The following is a 24552-nucleotide window of genomic DNA, read 5'->3' on the forward strand; positions in this document are numbered from 1 at the left end:
TTGAGGCAGGACACTCCAAAAGCCTCAGCTGCTTATGGGGAGGGGTGGTCCTCTGCATGGGACGCTTTTTTTTTTTTTTTTGAGATGGAGTGTAGGTCTGTGGCCCAAGCTGGAGTTCAGTGGCTTGATCTCCGCTCACTGTAACCTCCGCCTCCTGGGTTCAAGCGATTCTGCTGCCTCAGCCTCCCGAGTAGCTGGGATTACAGTCATGAGCCACCACACCCAGCTAATTTTTGTATTTTTAGTAGAGGAGGGGTTTCGCCCTGTTGCTCAGGCTGGTCTTGAACTTCTTTCTCTCTGTCTTTGGTGTTTTGTTTTGTTTTTTTACTTTTATTTTTTGGTCTTAAGCTTCTGATTTATTTATTTATTTTTAAGATGGAGTCTTCCTCTGTCACCCAGGCTGGAGTGCAGTGGTGCGATCTTGGCTCACTGCAACCTCCACCTCCCAGGTTCAAGTGATTCTCCTGCCTCAGCCTCCCTCCCAAAGTGCTGTGATTACAGGCATGAGCCAACTCACCCAGCCTCTAATTGCTTTTAGATGCGAATCCTTGGGATCGCTTATTTTCCTTTTTTTTTTTTTTTTTGAGATAGAGTCTTGCTCTGTCGCCAGGCTGGAGTGCAGTGGCACAATCTCAGCTCACTGCAACCTCCGCCTCCCAGGTTCAAGTGATTCCCCTGCCTCAAGCCTCCCAAGTAGCTGGGATTACAGGCACTTGCCACCACACCCAGCTAATTTTTTGTATTTTAGTAGAGACGGGGTTTCACCATGTTGGGTAAGATGGTCTTGATCTCCAGATCTCGTGATCCGCCCACCTCGGCTTCCCAAAGTGCTGGGATTACAGGCGTGAGCCACCATGCCCGGCCTTCATTTTTAAAAAACAGTAGAAATAGCTTCCTTTCCTTCCTTTTTCAAGGCAAATGCCCCCTACTTTATAATTGCTTTTCAACTTTGGATGTGGTAAAGACATTCCTGCAGGGTTCTAAGCACAAACCGCTTTTGGCTTAGCTAGACACGATCCAGAGCACTTGCGTCCACCACTTGCCCTCAGTGGCTGCTGCTCGTCTGAGACTGCAGCGCCCTGGGTCCGCGCAGGCGCATTCCACACCGACGCAGGTCCGTCCTCCAAGTGCGCATGCGTGCAGTCTGCGCGGGAAAGAGTGCCGCCTCAGCTGAGGGCAAGCGAGGAGATGGCTGTGAGGCAGGCGGCGACGGCGGGCACTCCCGGGCCCAGGAGAGAGGAAGAGGCGGCGCTTCTATTCGAGAGGGCCCATTACCGGCACGACCCGCGCTGGCTGCTGCCCGTGACCCCCCGCCTGTGCCTGGCCTGCGCGCTGGAGCTGCTGCCGGACCCCGGCGTGTCGGTGCGGGCGGAACCTTTTCTTCAGAAGACCTGGGTTTGGCCATTTCCCTCAGCAAACGCGGCCAGGCCCTTGCCAGACCCGCTCCGGTGAACCCGACGCGAAACCGGGCCCCCGCGCTGTGTTCACTCTCCTCCCTGTCAGCCCGTCCCGGACCCGGCCGCAGCGGCCTCTCGGGCCCCTCAGCCCCAGGCCGGCCTGCGGGCCTCCGTGGAGCCCGGTCCACTGGCTCTGCGCCTGAAAGGACGGAAATCCGGATCCCCCGGGACCTCACCCAGTCTCAGGGACACACCTTCCCGCCTTCCGCCTTCTGGCTCCTTCCCTTTGCTGCCCCTGCCTCCATTTCCCGGGGATTCGGCCTTAGCTCAGGCTCCCGCCATTTCAGCCTCCCGCCATTTCAGCCTCCACTCACCTGCGGGCCAGGGGCGCATGCGGCGGCCGCTCCTCATTCCCTTCAGCTGTCGGGGTGTGAATCGGAGGAGGGGCAGTCTGGGCTCCGAGGGGACAGGAGTGACAGGTTACAGCCGGGCAGAAGTGGGGGTGAACGGGAAGACTGTTCCTTGGGCAGAGCTGGCCAAAGCGGGCTGCCTGGGTCCTCATTGCCTACCGCGTTTGCAATGAAGTGGTTTTGTTTGTTTCGAGACGGAGTCTCGCTCTGACACCCAGGCCGGAGTGCAATGGCGCCATCTCCGCTCACTGCAACCTCTGTTTCCTGGGTTCAAGCGATTCTCCTGCCTCAACCTACCCAGTAGCTGGGATTACAGGCTCCCGCCACCACGCTCGGCTAATTTCTCTATTTTTAGTAGAGACGGAGTTTCATCATGTTGGCCAGGCTGGTCTCGAACTCTTGACCTCAGGTGATCCACCCGCCTCGGCTTCCCATAGTGCTGGGATTATAGGCGTGAGCCACGGTGCCCGACCTGCAGTGAGTTTTCTTGTCCATGGAGGCATCCAAGAAGACTTTGGGAGGTCAAGTTTCTCTCCAATTCATGGGAGGGGAATTCGTGAGTGGGTGGATTGGCTAGATCAGCAGTTCTCAATTTTTTTTTTTTTTTTTTTTTTTTTTGTAGAAACGGTCCCGGGGGTCTCCCTGTGTTGCCCAGGCTGGTCTTGAACTCCTAGTCTCAAGCAATTCTCCTGCCTTGACCTCCCAAAGTCCAAAGTGTTGGGATTGCATCTGTGAGCCACCGTGCCTGGCTGCGTTCTCAAATATTTTGATTTCTTTCTTTCTTTTTTTTTTTTTTTTTGAGATGGAGTTTCACTCTTGTTGCCCAGGCTGGAGTGCAATGGCGCAATCTCAGCTCACCGCAACCTCCGCCTCCCGGGTTCAAGCGATTCTCCTGCCTCAGCCTTCCGAGTAGCTGGGATTACATGCATGCGTCACTACGCCCAGCTAATTTTGTATTTTTAGTATAGACGGGGTTTCTCCATGTTGGTCAGGTTGGTGTTGAACTCCCAACCTCAGGTGATCTGCCTGCCTCAGCCTCCCAAAGTGTTGGGATTAAAGACGTGAGCCACCACACCCGGCCAAACAGCTGGATTTTTATCTATTTCTGCATTCAGTCTGTTGTGCTATCATGTCATATAGTCTCAAAAACTCCACTGTACACTTGTGGGAGAATAAGAATGAGAAAGACTGGGCCGGGTCCGGTGGCTCACACCTGTAATCCCAGCACTTTGGGAGGCCGAGGTGGTTGGATCACGAGGCCAGAAGTTCAAGACCAGCCTGGCCAACATGGAAAAAATTTAAAAAAAAATGAGGAAGACTAAGAACATTTTAATATTATATGAAAATATTTTTGTTCTTGTGGACCTCTGGGAAGTGTTTTAGGCACCCTTAGGAATTCCCACACTGTGCTCTGGGAACTCGTAAACTAGCTAATAACCTCTGAATTTTCATTAAGGATGGAAATTCTGAGGCTGCTTTTCTTGGACAGTAAATCAGAGATGAATAAGACAGTGCAGCGGGGAGAAATAAGAGAACATGTTAGAACTTAGAAGAATGAACATGTTTGTAGTCAAGTGCTGTTCAGGGTAAGGAGAGGAATTAGGAAAGGTTTCTTAGAGGAGGAAGCATTCAAATTAGGTTTAAGAAGATGGGTGAGATTTGGACCAGAGGAAGTGGGAGGCTGATTATCCCAGGAGGTAGGTATTATAAGGATGGGTTTTGGGGATAATCAGAGTGTTTGAAGGGAAAGTGAAAGAGATGAGATTGGAGAGACAGGTTGAGGACAGTTACTTGAAGAGTTTGAAACCCAGCTAAGGAGCTTGAACATAATCTGTCAGATGAAGGAGAGTTACTAGGATTTTTTGAGTAGCTCATATAGATCACTACCTTAATCTATTACGTAGGATGAATTGGTGAAGGAAAAACAGGAGCCTTACAGTAGCACAGATGAGAAGCAATAAGAGATGCAACTTCTACCTTTTATTGAGCACACTTTTCTTTTGAGATGGTTTCGCTCTCGTTGCCCAGGCTGGAGTGCAATGGCGCAATCTTGGCTCACTGCAACCTCTGCCTCCCAGGTTCAAGCGATTCTTCTGCCTCAGCCTTCTGAGTAGCTGGGATTACAGGCGCCTGCCACCATGCACGGCTAATTTTTGTATTTTTAGTAGAGAAGAGGTTTCACCATGTTGGCCAGGCTGGTCTCGAATGCCTGACCTCAGGTGAGCCACCCACATTGGCCTCCCAAAGTTGGGATTACAGGTGTGAGCCACTGCACCCGGCTTGAACACACTTTTTTTCTTTTTTTTTTTTTGAGACAGTTTTCCTCTTGTCCAGGCTGTAGTGCAATGGCGCGATCTTGGCTCACCGCAACCTCCCCTCCCAGATTCAAGTGATTCTCCTGCCTCAGCCTCCCAATTAGCTGGGGATATAGGCATGCGCCACCACGCCTAGCTAATTTTGTATTCTTAGTAGAAACCGGGTTTCTCCATGTTGGTCAGGCCAGTCTCGAACTCCCAACCTCAGGTGATCTGCCTGCTTCGGCCTCCCAAAATGTTGGGATTACAGGCGTGAGCCACCATGCCCGGCCTCTGAACACACTTTTCTTTTCTTTTTTTTTTGAGACAAAATCTTGCTCTTGTCCCCCAGGCTGGAATGCAGTGGCGCTATCTCGGCTCACTGCAACCTCCGCCTCCCTGGGTTTACAGGCACCTGCCACCATGCCCGAGTAATTTTTTTATTTTTAGTTGAGATAGAGTTGCACCATGTTGGCCATGCTGGTCTGGAACTCTTGAGCTCGTGATACGCCCGCCTTGGCCTCCCAAAGTGCTGGAATTACAGGTGTGAATCACCGGGCCCGGCCTCTGTTTTTGCTTTCCTCACCAACTTGTTAGGCTTAAATGAGCTGGTGGACAAAAATGATTTGTGAAAAATAAATTGCTATGTAAATATAGGGCATTAGGAACCTTAGCTCATGTATAATCTTCTGTATGAATACATGGATTCCTCTGCGTAAATGATATCCTTTTCCAACCTCCCTTGAAGGAGTATGGATCTCACCGTAGTTTAAATGATCCCTTGTATCATCTTGTAATTGTATTTGGAAATTACGGTTGTTGGATTCAGAATAGCCAAAATTTGGTTGCTATTGAATGTTTTTCTTCATTTGCTTCAAGTTAGTGCGCAAGAAGCACATGTTGTCCTGCTTCCAAGATGCCCTTGTGAGGCATACCTCCCTGGTCACGCAACTGGTGTCTCAGGATCAGAGAGTCTGCATCCACTTCATAAGTGTGCTTTTTGGTAAGATTAAGAGGGAAATTTGACATGAGTTTTGAATGTATAGTATGTATATCTGCTTTTGGGGCTCTTGGAAAAATGATCTTAGATGATTTAGGTTTTTTGTATTGTAATACTTTATCAGCAAATTGTTTTGTCATAATGATGTAGAAATGGCCCTTTTTCTAAGATCCAAGATGCATTTTACAGTAACTGACTTTACTAGAGCCAAGAAGTTAGTAAAAGTAAGAAGATGAAAATGGGAAATGTTGGCCGGGCGTGGTGGCTCATGCCTGTAGTCCCAGCACTTTGGGAGGCTGAAGTGGGTAGATCACTTGAGGTCAAGAGTTAGAGACTAGCCTGGTCAACATGGTAAAACCCCCATCTCTACTAAAAATAACAAAAATTAGCTCAGTGTGGTGGCGCGTGCCTGTAGTCCCAGCTACTTGGGAGGCCGAGGCATGAGAATTGCTTGAACCCTGGAGGTGGAGGTTGCAGTGAGACCAGTTCGTGCCACCACACTCCAGCCTGGGTGACAGAGCAAGAGTCCCGTCTCAACAAAAATAAAAATTCTTCAAAGAGTCCAGTATACACGGTCTTTGTACAGGACCAGAATGGAGTCTGCTGACCTAGGTATGACCCTGCTCAACTTACTTTCCCTCTCCTGTGCCTTAATATCTTCATGTGTGAAGTATGATAGATTAAATTTTATCTGATGTTCTTTCTTTTAATGTGACGGTAATGTCCAGTGGAATGAGCCCTTTCAGGGAGGAAGGCAGCTAACTTGTATTTACTGCTTTTCTGTGCCAGAGACTTTTCAGGCTTTTAACTGCCAAGACAATTTTTAAGGGAGCTAGGATGATCTCCAAGCTTCAGGGAATTTATGCTAACAAGTGACAGAACTAGAATTTTATCCCAGGTCTGTCATAGACACCAGAGCACATGGGGTTTTTTTTTGCTGTACCGCATTGACAATTCTTACCCTTTTTTTTTTTTTTTTTGAGATGGTGTCTCGCTCTTTCGCCCAGGCCGGAGTCCAGTGGCGTGATCTCAGCTCACTGCAACCTCCACCTCCTGAGTTCAAGCAATTCTCCTGTCTCAGCCTCCCGAGTAGCTGGGATTACAGGCATGTGCCACCATGCCCGGCCAATTTTTGCATTTTTAGTAGAGATGGGGTTTTGCCATGTTGGCCAGGCTGGTCTCGAACTCCCAACCTCAGGTGATCTGCCTGCCTTGGCCTCCCAAAATGCTAGGATTACAGGCATGAGCCACTGCACCCTGCCACAATTCTTATCTTTTTTTGAGATGGAGTCTTGCTCTGTCACCCAGACTGGAGTGCGGTGGCATGATCTTGGCTCACTTCAAGCTCCGCCTCCCAGGTTCACGCCATTCTCCTGACTCAGCTTCCCGAGTAGCTGGGACTACAGGTGCCCGTCACCACGCCTGGCTAATTTTTTGAATTTTTAGTAGAGGTGGGATTTCACTGTGTTAGCCAGGATGGTCTCGATCTCCTGACCTCGTGATCCACCTGCCTCAGCCTCCCAAAGTGCTGGAATTACAGGCGTGAGCCACCGCGCCCGGCCAATTGTTATCTTTTTAAAGCCTGGGCAGGTCATCGAAAGTCAAAGTATTTGGTGCTGAGAGTAGAATTTAGCTGGAACATTGTTTATAGCTGCTTTTAGACTTAGAATTTACAATGTGCCTGTGTGGGTCTATTTCTCTTTGAAGAGAACTCTTAACCACTCCTTTTTTTTTTTTTTTTCTTGAGACAGTCTGTGTTGCCCAGGCTGGAGTGCAGTGGTGCAGTCTCAGCTCCTTGTAATCTCTGCCTCCTGGGTTCAAGTGATTCTCCTGCCTCAGCCTCCTGAGTAGCTGGGACTACAGGCACAGGCCACTACTCCCGGCTAATTTTTGTGTTTTTAGTAGAGAGAGGGTTTCGCCATATTGGTCAGGCTTTTCTTGAATTCCTGACCTCAGGTAATCTGCCACCTCGGCCTCCCAAATTGCTGGGGTACAGATGTGTGCCACCGCGCCCTGCCTAACCACCCCTTTCTTACCTCCCTCTGCTCCAAGGACTATTATGCAGCATGGAAGATGGGAGTGTGACAGACCTCTGTATTGAAGGTAAGTTGAAACCTTGTATCTAGCACTTGAAGATGAAAGTATTAGTCTGAATTGCAGCTCTGGTTACTTGAGACCTTGGCGAAATTGTCTGTTTAGACACAGATAAGAGGAACCCCATTAGTTTTCAATCACTAATTCAACATTTGTTTTTTACTTTTTTTTTTTTTTTTTGAGACGGAATCTTGCTCTGTTGCCCAGGCTGGAGTGCGGTGGTGCAATCTCAGCTCACTGCAACCTCTGCCTCGCGGGTTCAAGCGATTCTCCTGCCTCAGCTTCCCGAGTAGCTGGGATTACAGGCATCTGCCACCACACCCAGCTAATTTTTGTATTTTGAGTAGAGACAGGGTTTCATCATGCTGGCTAAGCTGGTCTCGAGCTCCTGACCTCAGGCGATCTGCCTGCCTCAGCCTCCCAAAGTGCTGGGATTACAGGCATGAGCCACTGCACCCAGTCTTTCTTTTTCTCTCTCTCTTCTTTTTGTTGAGACATGGGCTCATTCTGTCACCCAGGCTGGAGTGCAGTGGTACAATCATAGCTCACTGCAGCCTTGAACTCCTGGGTTCAAGCAATCTTCCCGCCTCAGCCTCCCGAGTATCTGGGACTACAGGTGTGCACTACCATGACTGGCTAAAAAAATTTCTTTTCGTTGAGACAGGGACTTACCATATTGACTAGGCTGGTCTCAAACGGCTATTCTCAAGCAATCCTCCTGCTTGGCTTCCCAAAGTGCTGGGATTATAGGCGTGAGTCACCATTCCTGGCCTTACATTTTTTCCTTGGGTATTTACTCTGTGCTAGATACTGGATCAGGCACTACGGATACATAGATAGATAAGACATGGTCCCTGTCCTCTAGGAGCTTACAATCTGGAGAAGAGATTGACTGACAGGCAAATAACTAGATTTGATGAGTGCTGTTACAAAGGCACATACAAAACTCTTTTTTAGTACATCTCGTATTGGTTCATTGAAAGTTGTCTGCACACAGATGGTGGTTAAAACTGTTGAAGTGGACTGAGCATGGTACAACATGCCTGTAGTCCTAGCTACTCGGGAGGCTGAGGTGGGAGGATCCCTTGAGTCCAGGAGTTTGAGGTGACAGTGAGCTATGATCATCCCACTGCACTCTAGCGTGGATGACAAAGTGAGACCCCTTTCTCTTAAAAAAAAAAAACAAAAATTGTCGAAGCGCATGGGTTTACCTATAAAGGGTTTGTAGAGAAAGAAGGTAAGAGCCCTGGTATGTGACGATTCTTGCAGAGAGAGTGAGAATTGTACTAGTTAGGATCCAGTCAGGAAATAGAAACCACACCAATTATTTGAATAGAAAAAAACTTTAAAGAATGGTTAAGTAGGCCGGGCGCAGTGGCTCACGCCTGTAATCCCAGCACTTTGGGAGGCTTAGGCCTGTGGATCACTTGAAGTCATGAGTTCGAGACCAGCCTGGCCAACATGGTGAAACCCCATCTCTACCAAAAAAAAAAAAAAAAAAAAAAAAATTAGCCGGGCGCGGTGGCGGGCACCTGTAATCCCAGCTACTTGGGAGGCAGAGGCAGGAGAATCACTTGAACCCGGGAGGTGGAGGTTGCAGTGAGCTGAGATCGCGCCACTGCACTTCAACTTGGGTGATACAGTGAGACCCTGTCTCAATTAAAAAAATAATGTTGGTTAAGTAGGTAACTGAAGAAAAAGAGAACAACCAAATTTTCATGGAGATAGCAATTATAGAAAACAACTCCCTCACTGGGGCTGGGGGAACAAAGGAAAGAGGCTGGAATTGTTAAAACTTAGAAGTTTGGAGGAAGGGCCTAGTTATGAAACTCAGACCTCTGAGTGGCACTGACTAGATAATACCGTTGTCTCTGGAGGAGGAGAGATGCAATGAAGGTGGTTCTGGAAAAACTGCAGGCTGGATTCGGCTGCTGTCATAGAATGGCACTGCCACTGCCAGGATAAAGAAGTGCTAAGGTGCCAGGCATCTTAATTGTGTGGGTCTGTGGTCCTAGCTACTCAGGAGATTGAGGTGAGAGGATCACTTGAGCTCAGGAGTTCAAGTCCAACATGGGCAACATAGCAAGACTGTCTCTTAAAAAAAAAGTGTTAAGGGGATACTTACATGAATGGGAAGACTTATATGAATGGGAAGACTTACATGAATGGGAAGCAGACAGGAAACCCATAGGAAACAAAAAGGAAGGAGCAAATCCCTTCTTCCTATAGCCTTGCCATCTCTTTCTAGTGCTCATTATTGGCAGAGCTTAATGAGGTTCAGCTAGCAAAGCAAAAATGTGATTTGCAGAGTCCAGTCTTAGTCTTCCAAGGCAGATTACAGGGTGGGTTCTGGAGCTCAAAGACAATAGTGTAATAACTGGTTTGATCCATTCCTTTGGCTACTTGGTGTCCAAACACCCTTCTCCACATATTTGAACTCCCATAGAACAAAAACAACTTTTTGTTTACCTAACAAGATGTAACTATCCTTCATTCATATACTTCATACAGACTAAGCCATTGTCAATTTGTCCCCAACATAAGGAGGTTAATAATTTATTTTTAAATTCAATCACAGTCCTATATGAATATTCTGTTACCGAAAGACTAAATTTTAAAGCTAACCTCCACCAAAACTTGTACAAACAATAAGGAAAAAAGGAGAGAGAAGAAAACAGTTACAGAAATATATTACAATCTTCATTTTCATAACTGGTCAAAACGATATAGTTAATATTTATAATTTCCTTCTTAATGGTGTTTGTTCTATGTATCCTTTGCCTTCAACGAGGGTCTCAACTGGTCAGGGTTTTTACATGGTAGGGTGACTCACACCTTCATTCCTGAAAGGTCTGAATCTTTTTTTTTTTTTTCCAAGCCAAACTGTATCCAGCTTTATTAAAGATACTTTCCATAAACAGTCATGGTATTTCAGGCAGGACATGGGCAGACAGTCGTTAACAGTATACAACAACTTTCAAACTCCCGTCTTCAGTGGATACCAAAAATCGGAAAGCCACTATAAAACCCAATGAAGTCTTCATCTGATGCTCTGAACAGGAAAAGTTTAGAGTGAGGGTTGACATTTCACATTTAGCATGTTGTTTAACAACTTTAAACAAGCCGACCCTGACTTTCAGGAAGTGAAATGAAAATGGCAGAATTTATCTGAAGATCCACAATCTAAAAATGGAGGCACTGTTCTTTCGACAGATGCCATCTCAGTGGCATCACTGGAAAGTCTAGATTGCCTGACACACTGGTAACCAATGATTAGGGGTCAGGTCCCAACAGATGTCTGGGTCTTAAGGGAGTTAAGTCTATGCTGAAAGGTAGAGAGGGAGAAGAGGACATAAAAACGAATTTGTTTTTCCATACCACAAGGCTTTTGTGCCAAAGTGGCCACGTGTGTCAAAGTCAGGGAATCCCTCCTCCTGGGAGCCAAGAGGAAGTCTCTCACAACTAGAAGGGAAAGATGTTTCCCCACATCAGTCCAGCTGTGAAGACATTCTATTAGTGACATATGCCCCTTCCCCAAAATATAACAGTGAAGTGTTCTGTGTGCTAACAACATAGCTTAAAAAAATTCTGCATTTTTATAAAACTTGATAAAAAATAGTATTTCAAACTGTACAGTCACCAGAAGTACACAGTTACCAAAAATGTACACACTTCACTTGGCATCTCCAGCACCTTCAGCTTTCTGTGCCTGGTCTGTCTTGGCATCTCCATTTTCTGCAGGGTTATTCCCTTCCTTGCCAGCATCCACTTTTCCCTTTTTCCCTTTGGGTACCTTCTCTTCTTTGCAGGGGCCTTTTTAGGCTTGGGCTCTGGCTTTGGAGGAGCAGATTTTGCAGACAACCTTGTGGATCTTCTCTGTGGTTCGTCCTTCACCTTGGCTTTATCTCCTTTAGCATCACCTTCAGCCTTTGTCTTGGGCATGGTGGCAGCAGCGACGGCAGCGGGATGTAGGTGCTGTGCGCGGGATGCAGCGGCACACGGGCTTTGGTCGGTCCAGGGGTTGTTCTCGCCTCTTCTTCTGAAAGGTCTGAATCTTCAGTGGCTCTTCCTTTTTTTTTGGTTGCTGATGTTTTTCATTAACTTTTACTATTGAATATGAGACTAGTAAGAAGAGCCCCAGAGAATACCTGGTTCCAGACATAGTCCTCCTTGCCATTATTGTTAGTGGCAACTGAGTTTCCCCTGGATATTGGGATCAGTCATTCCAGGTAGTAGAATAATCCCTTATTTGCCTATTGGTTGAATGACATGAGGCCTCAAAATGGCCAGATGATAGTCACAACTTCTAATTCAATGAAACCATTGTGTGACCTCTCATGGAAGCATTCTTTCCTTAGGAACTAAGATCTTTAGCAGAGCCCAAAGTTGCAGGATAGGATATGTTGTGGGCTAAATTTATATGTACCCCCCACCCCCGGCAAATTTATATGTGGAAGCCCTAACTCTCAGAACCTCTGAATGTGAGTGTCTTTGGGGATAGGGCCTTTAAAAAGTTGATTAAGCTAAAATGAGGCAATTAGGATGGACCCTAATCCAATCTGACTAGTATCCTTATAAGAAGAGCAAATTTGAACACACACACAGAGACACCAGGGGTGTGTGTGCACCAAGCAAAGACCATGTGAGGGCAAGTGAGAAGGTAGCCGTCTGCAAGCCAGGAAGAGAGGCCTCAGAAGAAACCAAATCTGCTGACACTTTGATCTTGGGCTTTCAACCTCAAGAACTGTGAGAAAATTTCTGTTGTTTAAGCCATCCAGTCTGTGGTATTTTATTATGGAAGCCCTAGTGAGCTATTATAGGATACAAAAATTCTGCAAGTGGGTTAGTAAGTGTAATAGGGAAATGACTCCCACTTTACCCCTTGATTCTCTGACCCATGTATTCTACTGTGGGTAAGACAGCACCGAATGTTGATCACCGCATCAAAATATATACCACATGGAAGATAGAACCCTATCCTTTCAGAGTGGTGTCTTTCAGATGGTGGAATAACTGAGTCTTCAGAGGCCATTCCACATTCTTTTAGGTCAGGTGGTTCCAGCTGATAGAGTATGGGATAAGGGCAGTGAATTTTATGGGTGTGATCCCATTGCCTCACTTCTTTTGTGAAATGAGTTCCTTAATCCAAGTGATGTTGTGCAGAATACCATGATATTGAATAAGCCATTCTGTAAGCTTACAAATGTGTTTTTGGCAGAAGTATCATGGTTTGGGAAGGCAAGTCTGTATTCAGAATACATGTTTATTCCAGTGAGGACAAATCTCTGCCTCTCCATTTGCTGTTGGCAGGTTAGGCACTCAGTCATAGCAGTAATCAATTTAGCCTTGACAAGGGAAAGTCCGTGTTGTTGAGCCCAGCGCATAGCCTCCAGCTCTGCCACCATAGCCAACTTGTACATGGATCCATTGAATAAGCACTTGATGGTGAGGGAAACAGGTGGATTAGCATTCACAAAATGTGCCATTTTGACTACCTGGTTACTGAGAATCTCTTCTTTAATAGATGTTCTTTAGGGAGCATTCACACAAGAGACAAGTGTCTTCCCACTTTATGCTCCCTCTGAAAGGTCCATCTTCTTCTCCAGGCCTCATTGTCACCAGTATTTCTTTTTTTTTCTTTTTTTTTGAGACAATCTCACTCTGTTGCCCAGGCTGGAGTGCAGTGGCGCGATCTCGGCTCACTGCAAGCTCTGCCTCCTGGGTTCACGCCATTCTCCTGCCTCAGCCTCCCGAGTAGCTGGGACTATAGGCGCCCGCCATTGCGCCCGGCTAATTTTTTTGTATTTTTAGTAGAGACGATTTCACCGTGTTAGCCAGGATGGTCTCGATTTCTTGACCTCATGATCCGTTCTGACCCCCCGGGGGATTTTCCTTCATCATTTTCCTTCTAGGCCACCCTTGAGTGGGGCTACAATCCTGCAGCCATCCACTTCTGGTTGGTATCAGCATGGCTTGCAGAACCATCAGACCTCAGGAACTTCACCTAGGTGGAAAGCACTAGAGGAAGACTAAGGGTGAGGGGTGAAGGACTTGCTCCTTCCTCATGGTTCCTGTTTGCTTTCTTCCTGCTTCTTGTTTCTGTGCGTGTTCGCCTAGAATGCTTCTTGAACCTCCAGTGACAGAACCTTCCCACAGCAGCTGCTGAATTTAGTTTGCAGCTTTTCCAACCTTACCAAATCTCTCCTCAAAGCCACCAGCAGAAGTACCACAAATGATTGTAGAGAAGGGTGGGTTTGGAGCTAAGAGATAATGTTGTAATAATTGGCTATAGGAACTTGCCTATAATTCTTTTTTTTTAGTATATATAAAGGAGCAAACTGAGGAAAGAAATAGTAGAGATAATATAAAATAGCAGTTTTTGGCCAGGCACAGTGGCTCACACCTATAGTCCCTGGGAGGCCAAGGCGGGCGGATCACCTGAGGTTAGGAGTTCGAGACCAGCCTGGCCAACATGTAGAAGCCCCATCTCTACTAAAAGTATAAAAAATTAGCCAGGCGTGGGGGGCGGGTGCCTGTAATCCCAACTACTCGGGAGGCTGAGGCAGGAGAATCACTTGAACCCAGGAGGCAGAAGTTGCAGTGAGGCGAGATCATGCCAGTGCACTCCAGCCTGGGCAACAAGAGTAAAACTCCGGCTCAAAAAAAAAAAAGCATTGTGTTTTTTTTGTTTGTTTGTTTGTTTCTTTGATACGGAGTCTCGCTCTGTTGCCCAGGCTGGAGTGCAGTGGCGCGATCTTGGCTCACTGCAAGCTCCACCTCCTGGGTTCACGCCATTCTCCTGCCTCGGTCTCCCGAGTAGCTGGGACTACAGGCGCCCACCACCACGCCCGGCTAATTTTTTTGTATTTTTAGTAGAGATGGGGTTTCACCGTGTTAGCCAGGATGGTCTTGATCTCCTGACCTCGTGATCCACCCGCCTTGGCCTCCCAAAGTGCTGGGATTACAGGCGTGAGCCACTGCGCCCGGCTCAAAAGCAGTTTTCAAACCTGGCTTCACAATAGACTTACCTGGAGAACTTTAGAAATACACTAGAATTTTATATTTAGAAAAATATTTTAAAGTATAAAACATTTAAATATATTTAAGTATATTTAAATAGAAATAGATGTGTGTGTGTGTGTGTGTGTGTGTGTGTGGAGCAATATATATATATATTCACATTAAACAAAACAATATATTGGGCTTTTCCCTTAGACATTCAATTGGTCTGGGGTGGGACTTGGGTATTAGTTTTGTTTGTTTGTTTTTTTTTTTTTTTTAGAGATGGAGTCTCGCTCTGTTGCCCAGGCTGGAGTGCAGTGGCGTGATCTCGGCTCACTACAAACTCCACCTCCCAGATTCATGCCATTCTCCTGCCTCAGCCTCCTGAGTAGCTGGGACCACAGATGCCTGCCACCATACCTGGCTAATTTTTTTGTATTTTTAGCAGAGACGGGGTTTCACCGTGTTAGCCAGGATGGTCTCCATCTCCTGACCTCGTGATCCGCCCATCTCGGCCTCCCAAAGCGCTGGGATTACATGCGTGAGCCACCGCGCCCGGCTGGGCATTAGAATTTTTTTAAAGCTTCCTAGGTGAGTCTAATGTGCAGCCTGAGTTGAGAACCACTGATAATAAATCAAAGAAGGCCAGGCATGGTGACTCACACCTATTATCCCAGCACTTTGGGAGACAGGCAGGAGGACTGCTGAAGCCCAGGCATTTGAGATTACCCTGGGCAGTACAGACCCTGTCCCTACAAAAAAATTAAAAAATTAGCCAGGCATAGTGGCATGTACCTGTAGTCCCAGCTGCTTGAGAGCCTGAGTGGGAGGATTGCTTGAGCCCAGGAGTTCAAGGCTGCAGTGAGCTATGATCACACCACTGCACTTTAGCCTGGATGACCCTGTCTCTAAACAAAGCAAAAGCAAAATCAAAAGAAAAAAAAAAAAGAAGCCAGAACTCCTTTAGTTTAGATGTGCACACATAGTTGTTTTTTTGTTTTGTTTTGTTTTGTTTTTGAGACAGAGTTTTTGCTCTCGTTGCCCATGCTGGAGTGCAATGGCACGATCTTGGCTCACTACAACCTCCGCCTGCCGGGTTCAAGCAATTCTCCTGCCTCAACCTCCCGAGTAGCTGGGATTACAGGCCTGCACCTCCATGTCCGGCTAATTTTGTTTTTCTAATAGAGACGAGGTTTCTCCATGTTGGTCAGGCTGGTCTCAAATTCCTCACCTCAGGTGATCCGCCTGCCTCGGCCTCCCAAAGTGCTGGGATTACAGATGTGAGCCACTGTGCCTGGCCTGTGCACACATAGTTAAATGGAAGAAATAGAAAAGTATAATACCAATTAGCCCAGGCAAATCACTATCCTGCACTGATTGAGTAGAAGGGCCATGGAAGGTGGACTCTGGGTTGGGGGTGCCTCCTGGTTAGTAATACTGTTGTGTCTGTTCAGTCCTTATTCAGATCACAACGCAGCTGAAGCTGGAGCAGACTATCCGTTGCCTGCTGGATGAGTGCCACAAAGAGGTCAGAAAATAGCTATGGGTTCTTGAGTCTCTCAGAATCCTCAGATGTCAGAGCTGGGTCAACCCTTTGAACAAATGAGAGATTGAAGTCCAGGGAGGAAAAGGAGCTTTCCTGAGGTCACTGAGTTGGTGGCAGAGTCAGAGCTAAGGCCTGGGTCCACTGATCATGCTCCAGTGTTCTTTACAGCTTTCTTCTTTCCCCTTTCAATCTCCCAAATGTTACCTCCATGCAATGAAGTGCCATCTTTCTGGCATAATCATCCCATGGTTCATTTTCCGTGACTTCCTAATTATAATACAGATTTCCTTGATGAAGTTGTCAAGGAAATATGTTCTCTATGTCTTGTTTTGGTGGTTTTATTTAATTTTGAATTGTATACATTACTTAGTACTGAAGGTGTTTGGTTCTATCAGCTTACTTTGTACTGAAGGCGTTTGCTTCTATCTGAGGTAAGCATTGAGTGGATATGGTATGTTTAATCTGCTTTCTTCAGTGTAGTCAAAGAAATTAGTTAGCCAGGCACAATGGCTCACACCTGTAATCCCAGCACTTTGGGAGGCTGAGGTGGGTGGATCACTTGAGGTCAGGAGTTCGAGATCAGCCTGGCCATTATGGTGAAACCCCGTCTCTACTAAAAATACAAAAAAAAAAAAAAATTAGCTGGGCGTGGTGGTGCATGCAAGTAATCCCAGCTACTGGGGAGGCTGAGGCAGGGGAATTGCATGAACCCAGGAGGTGGAGTTTGCAGTGAGCTGAGATCGCACCACTGCACCCCAGCCTGGGTGACAAAGCAAGACTCCATCTAAAAAAAAAAAATATCAGTTAAAGAGCAGCTTTTGTGTTGTATTTAAGACTGAGGAATAATATCAGAATAACTTTTTATTTAATTTGCAGAAGGAAAACAAATGTTTATCTTGTTAAAACCATCAAGAACATTTCATTATAAATTATATTTCAATTATATCATAGTTATTTTACATATGATTAATATGTCAGATTGAATTTATAATTATATATATCAGTGCTTATGATTATGATGAGATGATGCCACTTAACATTTATTGAGCACTTTCTATGGGCTAGGGATTGTATGAGGTGGTTTATATGTAATATCTCATTCAGCCCTATCAACAACCCTATAAAGCTGTTACTATTATTATTTCCCACCAGAGTTAAGAATCTTGCCAAAAGTGGTATGACTAGCTAGTCAATAGAAAAGGTAAAATATGGACTATTGACTCTCCCTGTAAAGCATGAAGCATAGTGCCTGGTATACAGAGAATGTTCAGTAATAGGAGCTATAATAACTATGATAACAATAATTTTTTTTTTTTTTTTGAGACGGAGTCTTTCACTGTTTCCCAGGCTGGAGTGCAGTGGCGCAATCTTGGCTCACTGCAAGCTCCGCCTCCCGGGTTCACGCCATTCTCCTGCCTCAGCCTCCCGAGTAGCTGGGACTACAGGCGCCTCCCACCACACCCGGCTAATTTTTTGTACTTTTAGTAGAGACGGGGTTTCACTGTGTTAGCCAGGATGGTCTCGATCTCCTGACCTCGTGATCCGCCCGCCTCGGCCTCCCAAAATGCTGGGATTACAGCGTGAGCCACCACGCCTGGCCAACAATAATTTTTTTTTTTTGCATCGAGTCAGTGTTCTGTCTTTATGACATTTCAAACTTTTGTCCCCCAACTTCTGGTTCTATGGAGGCAAAATATGTAGATTTTAATTCAGTTTAACAAACATGCACTGAGCTAGGTACTGAGGACTCTGAGAGGACTCAGTCCCTTTCCTCTGGGAGTTCCCAGTCCAGTGGGGGAGCTGGACACTAAGCTAAAAAAGCTGATTGCTGACTGTGGTGAGAGACACATGCAATACAGGCATTGGTGTGGGTAGGGAAAGATCAGTTTTGGTGGAAGATCTGTCCTGATCCTAATTGACAGAATGGAGCATATTCACTTTCTGTAGCTGTGTAACATGCCCTCCATGCGAGGCAGCCTGGCCACCCTGACCCTTCTTGGCAAGTTGGTGGATGCCATCCCTGCTCTGGCAGACGAGCTTGTAATGGAGCATGGTGAGTGACCTGTGGGAGGAGCTGCCACTACCCTTTTACCTGCTTTTATCATACTGCCATTTGGGTGTCCCATTCACTCTGTACACCTGGGAAGTCATTACTTTCCTGCTTTAGCCTTCAGTTTCCCCGTCTGCAAAATGTACTGTATGTCGGTCAATTTGAAAAAGGTCAGTTTTTTGACTCTATTCTTGGACTATTTCCATTCATTCTTTTTTTTTTTTTTTTTTTTTTTTTTTTTTTTTTTTTTGAGACGGAGTCTTGCTCTTGTTGCCCAGGCTGGAGTGCAATGGCGCAATCTCGACTCACTGCAACCTCCACCTCCCGGGTTCAAGCGATTCTCCTACCTCAGCCTCCCGAGTAGCTGGGATTACAGGCATGTGCCACCACGCTGGACTAATTTTGTATTTTTGGTAGAGACGGGGTTTCTCCATGTTGGTCAGGCTGGTCTTGACCTCCCAACCTCAGGTGATCCGCCTGCCTCAGCCTCCCAAAGTGCTGGGATTACAGGCGTGAGCCACCACGCTGGCCTTCCATTCATTCTTTTTTTTTTTTTTTTTTCCCTGAGACGAGTCTTGCTCTGTTGCCCAGGCTGGAGTGCAGTGGCGCGATCTCGGCTCACTGCAAGCTCTGCCTCCCGGGTTCACGCCATTCTACTGCCTCAGCCTCCCGAGTAGCTTGGACTACAGGCGCCTGCCACCATGCCTGGCTAATTTTTTGTATTTTTAGTAGAGACGGAGTTTCACCATGTTAGCCAGGATGGTCTCGATCTCCTGACCTGCTGTTGGACCCGCCTCAGTCTCCCAAAGTGCTGGGATTACAGGTGTGAGCCACCACGCCCGGCTCCATTCATTCTTTAACACAAATTAATTAAGTACCTACTATGAACCTTCCTTTTGGATGGAAGGAGGAATTCTGGAATATAGAAGCACTTTTTTCTGTCAGTGAAATGCAAATAAATATCTCCCAGAGGATTTACCAAAGGGTAAATAACTTCTTTAAGTTGGTTTCCCCTTTTTAAAAAAATTAATAATAATAATAATAATTTTTTGAGACAGAACCGGGCTACAGCGCAGTGGCATGATCTTGGCTTACTGAAATCTCTGCCTCCCAGGTTCAAGTGATTTTCCTGCTTCAGCCTCCTGAGTAGCTGGGATTATAGGCGTCCGCCACAACACCAGGCTAATTTTTGTATTTTTAGTAGAGGTGGGGTTTCGCCATGTTGGCCAGACTGGTCTTGAACTCCTGACTTCAAGTGATCTGCCCACCTCGGCCTCCCAAAGTGGTGGGATTACAGCCATGAGGCACCATGCCCAGCCTAATTATTATTATTTTTTAGAGACCAGATCTCACTATGTAGAGCAGGTTGGTCTCAACCTGCTGGTCTCAAGTGATCCTCCCACCTTGGCCTCCCAAAGTGCTGAGATTTCAGGAATGAGCCACTGCACCTGGCTTTCTTTTTCTTTTTTCTTTTCTTTTTTTTTTTTTTTGAGTTGGAGTCTCGCTCTGTTGCCTAGGCTGGAGTGTGGTGGCATGATCTCGGCTCACTGCAACCTCTGCCTCGTGGGTTTCAGCGATTCTCCTGCCTCAGCTTCTCAAGTAGCTGGGATTACAGGCGTGTGCCAGCATGCCCGGCTAATTTTTGTATTTTTAGTAGATGCTGGGTCTCGTCTTGTTGGCCAGGCTGGTCTCGAACTCCTGACCTTAGGTGATCCTTCTGCCTTGGCCTTCCCAAGTGCTGGGATTACAGGTGTGAGTTACTGTGCCCAGTTTGGTTTTGCCTTTAGATTAAGCATGCAGAAAGCATTTTTTGTGGGGGATTATAGGGACTTACCATTACTACCCCGTTAGGAATAATAGATTGGAGTTTCATATAGCAGTTGACATTGTGAAATTTCCCTTGGCTCCTTGGTTGTTTTCTGGACAGGCAACCTGATGGAGCATCTGTTGAGAGGCTTAGTATACCCCAGTGAGGGCATACAAGCTTCTGTCTGTTACCTTTATGGGAAGCTATACTCCTCACCAGTGGCAGCTGAGATGCTTTCAGGACACTTCCGTGAGAAGCTTTTTCCCCTCTTCCTTTCCATCCTGGATGGTGCCCAGACAAAGGAGCTGCAGATTAACTGCTTGGGTAAGACATGAGGCTGGAGAAAAAAGGGAGAATAAGTTTTTGACATTTTGCTAGAAGACTTGAGATATTGGGTTCTCTAGTAGTGGGGAAGTTTGCTGTTTTGCAAAAGGTAGAAGCCACAAGGCTTGAGAGATAAGAGACACACTGTGTGAAAGATGCCTAGAGTTGGTATGACATCTTAAGAATGTTGCCTTTGGAGGAAAATAGGAAGGAAAGTGGGACAGCAATTTTTTCTGCCTTTACTGCCTGCCCTGGTGCATCCTGTATTTGCTGGCAAGTTAATCTTTACATTGTATAGCTCACGTCCTGTCACTTTCTTAAGTCAGAAATTCTTCCATGGTTCCCTCTGGCCTCCAGGGTAAAGCCTAGGTGTCTTAGTGCATTTTATGCTGCTATAACAGGATACCACAGACTAGGTGATTTATAATGAAAAACTTATTGGTTCAGAAATTTATTGGTTTGTAGTTCTGGAGCCTAGGAAGTCCAAGATCAAGAGGCTGGCAGTTGGTGAAACCCCTCTTGCTCTGTCATCCCATGGTGGAAGGGCAAAGAGAGGGCAAGAGAAAAAGCTAGAGGGGACTGAACTTGTCCTTTTTTTTCTTTTTTCTTTTTTTTTGAGACAGAGCCTTGCTCTGTTGCCCAGCTTGAGTCCAGTGGTGCTTTCTCAGCTCACTGCAACCTCTACCTCCCCGGTTCAAGTGATTCTTTTTTTTTTTTTTTTTTTTTGAGACAGAGTCTCACACTGTTGCCCAGGCCGGACTGCAGTGGCGCAATCTTGGCTCACTGCAAGCTCCGCCTCCCGGGTTCACACCATTCTCCTGCCTCAGCCTCCCGAGTAGCTGGGACTACAGGCGCCTGCCACCATGCCCAGCTAATTTTTTGTATTTTTAGGAGAGACGGGGTTTCACCGTGTTAGACAGGATGGTCTCGATCTCCTGACCTCGTGATCCACCCGCCTTGGCTCCCAAAGTGCTGGGATTACAGGCGTGAGCCACCGCGCCCGGCCGGTTCAAGTGATTCTTATGCCTCAGCCTCCTGAGTAGCTGGCATTACAGGCACCCACCATCACATCCGGCCAAGTTTTATATTTTTAGTGGAAACGGGGTTTCACCATGTTGCCCAGGCTGGTCTCGAACTCCTGATTTCAGGTGATCTGCCCACCTTGCCCTCCCCAAGTGCTGGGATTAAAGGCGCAAGCCACTGTGCCTGGCCTGAACTTGTCCTTTTATGAGGAGCCTACTCTCATGATAACAAACCCACTCCCATGGTGATGGCATTAATTCATTCATGAGGGTCCAAACCCAAACCCCAAACTCATGACCCAAACACCACCCGTAGGTCCCAGCTCCTGATACCGCTGCATTGGGGATTCAGTTTCCAACACATGAACTTTGGGGAACACATTCAAACCATGGCACTAGGTTTCTCTGCTTGTTACTTGAGGCTCTTTAGAAGCCCCAACATACCCTTTTAACGTCCTCTCCTGCTATTTTTTTACATAAATACATAAGGTCTATCAACTGTTCTAAGCAGGGAGATTTCTTATTTTGGGCAGAACAGATGGGCACTGTAATTGGTGCCTGGTTGAGGGCCTGTTCTCAGGTAGAAGCTGTAGAGAAAAGCATAGTCTATTGGTGACAGCAGCTTCTTTTCAAAATTTGGATCAGGAGCTCTGTTATGAATGACCTAGCCATACATAGTGAGCATTCGTTCTATAGCTGGCCCTGTGCTGGGCTCTGAGGTCACAGAGATGATCAAATCCAAGCTTTATCTTAGGGGAGCTCACAGGCCAGTGTAGAAGACACACATGGACAACTAGAGTCTAGTGTGATGAGTGCCATCTTGGAGGTGCACAGCAGAGGGTAGGAGCAGGGGACAGGAGAAGCTTCCTAAAGGAAAGGATGCCTGGACTGAGTCCTAAATTGGGGGGGAGAGGAGGAAGGCAGAAACACGGGCCAGAGCACGAGGTATGAAGCAGCCTGTATCTGCGGTAACTTGCAGCAGGGCAGTGTTGGAGTTAGTGCATATAGAACAAAAGGGTGCAAATACAGGCCCTAGGGTGAGGCCCTTGGCAGTCCTACAGCTCACCTAACCACAGCAGAGGGAAATCTCAACTGGTTATACTGGGAATTCCCACTTTTATTTTTTAAAATTTTTATTTACTTATTTATTTTGAGACAGGGTCTTGTTCTGTCACCCAGGCTGGAGTGCAGTGGTAGGATCACAGCTCACTGCATCCTTGACCTCCAGGGCTTAAATGATCTTCCCACCTCAGCCTACCGAGTAGCTGGGACCACAGCCTGCACTACTATGCCTGGCTCAATTTTTTTTTTTTTTTTTTGACGGAGTCTGGCACAGTTGCCCAGGCTGGAGTGCAGTGGGCGTGATCTCAGCTCACTGCAAGCTCCACCTCCCGGGTTCACGCCATTCTCCTGCCTCAGTCTCCCGAGTAGCTGAGATTACAGGCGCCTGCCACCATGCCCGGCTAATTTATTTTTTATTTTTTATTTTTTTTGAGACAGAGTCTCGCTCTGCTGGCCAGGCTGGAGTGGAGTGGCGTGATCTCTGCTCACTGCAAGCTCCGCCTCCCAGGTTCACGCCATTCTCCTGCCTCAGCCTCCCGAATAGCTGGGACTACAGGTGCTTGCCACCACGCCCGGCTAATTTTTTGAATTTTTTTTTTTTAAGTAGAGACGGGGTTTCACCATGTTAGCCAGGATGGTCTCGATCTCCTGACCTCGTGATCCACCCACCTCGGCCTCCCAAAGTGCTGGGATTACAGGCTTAAGCCACTGCGCCCAGCCTTTTTTTTGTATTTTTAGTAGAGATGGGGTTTCACCATGTTAGCCAGGATGGTCTCGATCTCTTGACTTCATGATCCGCCCATCTCGGCCTCCCCAGGATATGTCCGCCTCGGCCTCCCAAAGTGCTGGGATTACAGGTGTTAGCCACCACGCCCGTTCTTTTTTTTTTTTTTTTTTTTTTTTTGAGACGGAGTCTCGCTCTGTCACCCAGGCTGGAGTGCAATGGCACAATCTCGGCTCGCTGCAACCTCCGCCTCCCAGGTTCAAGCAATTCTCTTGCCTCAGCCTCCTGAGTAGCTGGGACTACAGGCGCATGCCACCACATCTGGCTATTTTTTTGTATTTTTAGTAGAGACGGGGTTTCACCGTGTTAGCCAGGACAGTCTCCATCTCCTGACCTCGTGATTCGCCTGCCTTGGCCTCCCAAAGTGCTGGGATTACAGGTATGAGTCACCGTGCCCAGCCCGTGCCTGGCTAATTAAAAAATTTTTTTTTGTAGAGTCTGGGTCTCATTATATTGCCCAGGCTGGTCTTGAACTGCTGGGCTCAAGAGATCCACGTGCCTTGGACTTCCGAAGTGCTGGGATTACAGGCATGAACCACCACACCCAGCCAGAATTCCCGTTTTTAAATGCTACCCCTTTTTTTTTTTTTTTTTTTTGAGATGGAGTCTCGCTCTTTCACCATGCTGGAGTGCAGTCGCACGATCTCAGCTCACTGCAACCTCTGCCTCCCGGGTTCAAGTGATTCTCCTGCCACAGCCTCCCGAGTAGCTGGGACTACAGGCGCGTGCTACCATGCCCGACTAATTTTTGTATTTTTAGTAGAGACGGGGTTTCACCGTGTTGGCCAGGATGGTGTCAATCTCTTGACCTCGTGATCTGCCTGCCTCGGCCTCCCAAAGTGTTGGGATTACAGGCGTGAGCCACCGCGGCCAGCCTCTTTTTTTTTTTTTTTAAATAATAAAAAAAATTAACCCTATGCATGTTTGTCAGACCCGAGGGCCTCTTTTATCCTGGTCAACGGGAGTGCTAACCTTCTTTCAGACAACACTTAAAGGTCACCTCTTCTCTGGAGCCTTTCCTTCCCACCCTCTCCCCTCAGCCAGGGATGTAGTCACATCCTTTGGACCCTTGAAGCACCAAGGGTCTTATATTCTGTCTTATGTCATCTTATTCACTTACTTTACAACCCAAGATCCTCATAAGTTCTTATTTTATTTAATTTACTTATTTTTAAAGATGGGACCTGTTCTATTGCCCAGGCTGAAGTACAGTAGCATGTTCATAGCTCACTGCAGCCTCGAACTCCTGGCCTCAAGTGATCCTCTCACCTTGATCTCCCAAGTAGCTGGTATTACAGGTGCACGCCACCTTGCCAGCATTTTAATTTTTTTTTTTTTTTTTTTTTGTAGAGATGGGGTCCCACTATGCTCATAAGCTGTTTATGGTCTAATCCTTATTAACCTCTCAAGCCTCATCTCTCACTTCTCTATCTGTCCCCACCCTAACTCAGCCTTACTGAACCAAATCCATCTCCAGGAACACACCATACTCTCCTGCCTTTATATATTCCTCTGCCCAGAAGTTGGCTCACATCCAACTTCTCATCCTTCAAGATTTGGTTCAAATATCTTCTTATAGAAGCCTTCCCTGGGCCCCCAGGCTAGATTAGATGATTCATTTGATTTCCTGCGGTCCTCTGGGCTTTTTTCCACATTATTTAATTTTAATATTTAATATTCTGACATGCATTTCTTTACTTGTTTGTTAAAGTATGTATTATTTGGAACACTTTGGTGACTTACCATGAATCCCAGCATAA

At 46.7% G+C, this 24552-nt stretch overlaps 1 protein-coding gene and 2 pseudogenes across 27 annotated transcripts in view, besides 1 other annotated feature; 1 reads left to right on the forward strand and 2 right to left on the reverse strand.

Moving 5' to 3' along the window:
• Positions 1126-1225: a silencer, noted in NCBI's record as "silent region_13796". NCBI's record gives its function as "represses an Ori minimal core promoter by ATAC-STARR-seq in GM12878 lymphoblastoid cells {active_cell/tissue: GM12878}" and the evidence as "EXISTENCE:reporter gene assay evidence [ECO:0000049][PMID:35858748]".
• The window catches only part of MEI1 (meiotic double-stranded break formation protein 1), a 99952-nt gene continuing 76552 nt past the window's right edge, over positions 1153-24552 (forward strand). For 23 of the 27 annotated variants that reach the window (XR_937820.2, XR_937819.2, XR_007067959.1 and 20 more), the window contains exons 1-6: positions 1153-1362; positions 4981-5104; positions 7154-7204; positions 15652-15725; positions 17691-17796; positions 19721-19924. Coding sequence is in view for 23 of the 27 variants with exons in the window: in XM_011529945.4 (XP_011528247.1) it covers positions 1189-1362; positions 4981-5104; positions 7154-7204; positions 15652-15725; positions 17691-17796; positions 19721-19924 (733 nt within the window). In the remaining 4 variants the exon portion in view is untranslated. Of the gene's footprint in view, positions 1363-3099; positions 3505-4557; positions 4646-4980; positions 5105-7153; positions 7205-15649; positions 15726-17690; positions 17797-19720; positions 19925-24552 lie in introns of those variants that run through there. The other 4 variants (XM_011529942.4, XM_047441161.1, XM_011529948.4 and 1 more) reach the window with 4 other exon arrangements.
• Positions 10675-11235, reverse strand: HMGN2P10 (high mobility group nucleosomal binding domain 2 pseudogene 10; annotated as a pseudogene).
• On the reverse strand, positions 23693-23781 carry RNU6ATAC22P (RNA, U6atac small nuclear 22, pseudogene; annotated as a pseudogene).

Source organism: Homo sapiens, chromosome 22 (genome assembly GCF_000001405.40).
Source record: "Homo sapiens chromosome 22, GRCh38.p14 Primary Assembly".
Lineage (NCBI taxonomy): Eukaryota > Metazoa > Chordata > Mammalia > Primates > Hominidae > Homo > Homo sapiens.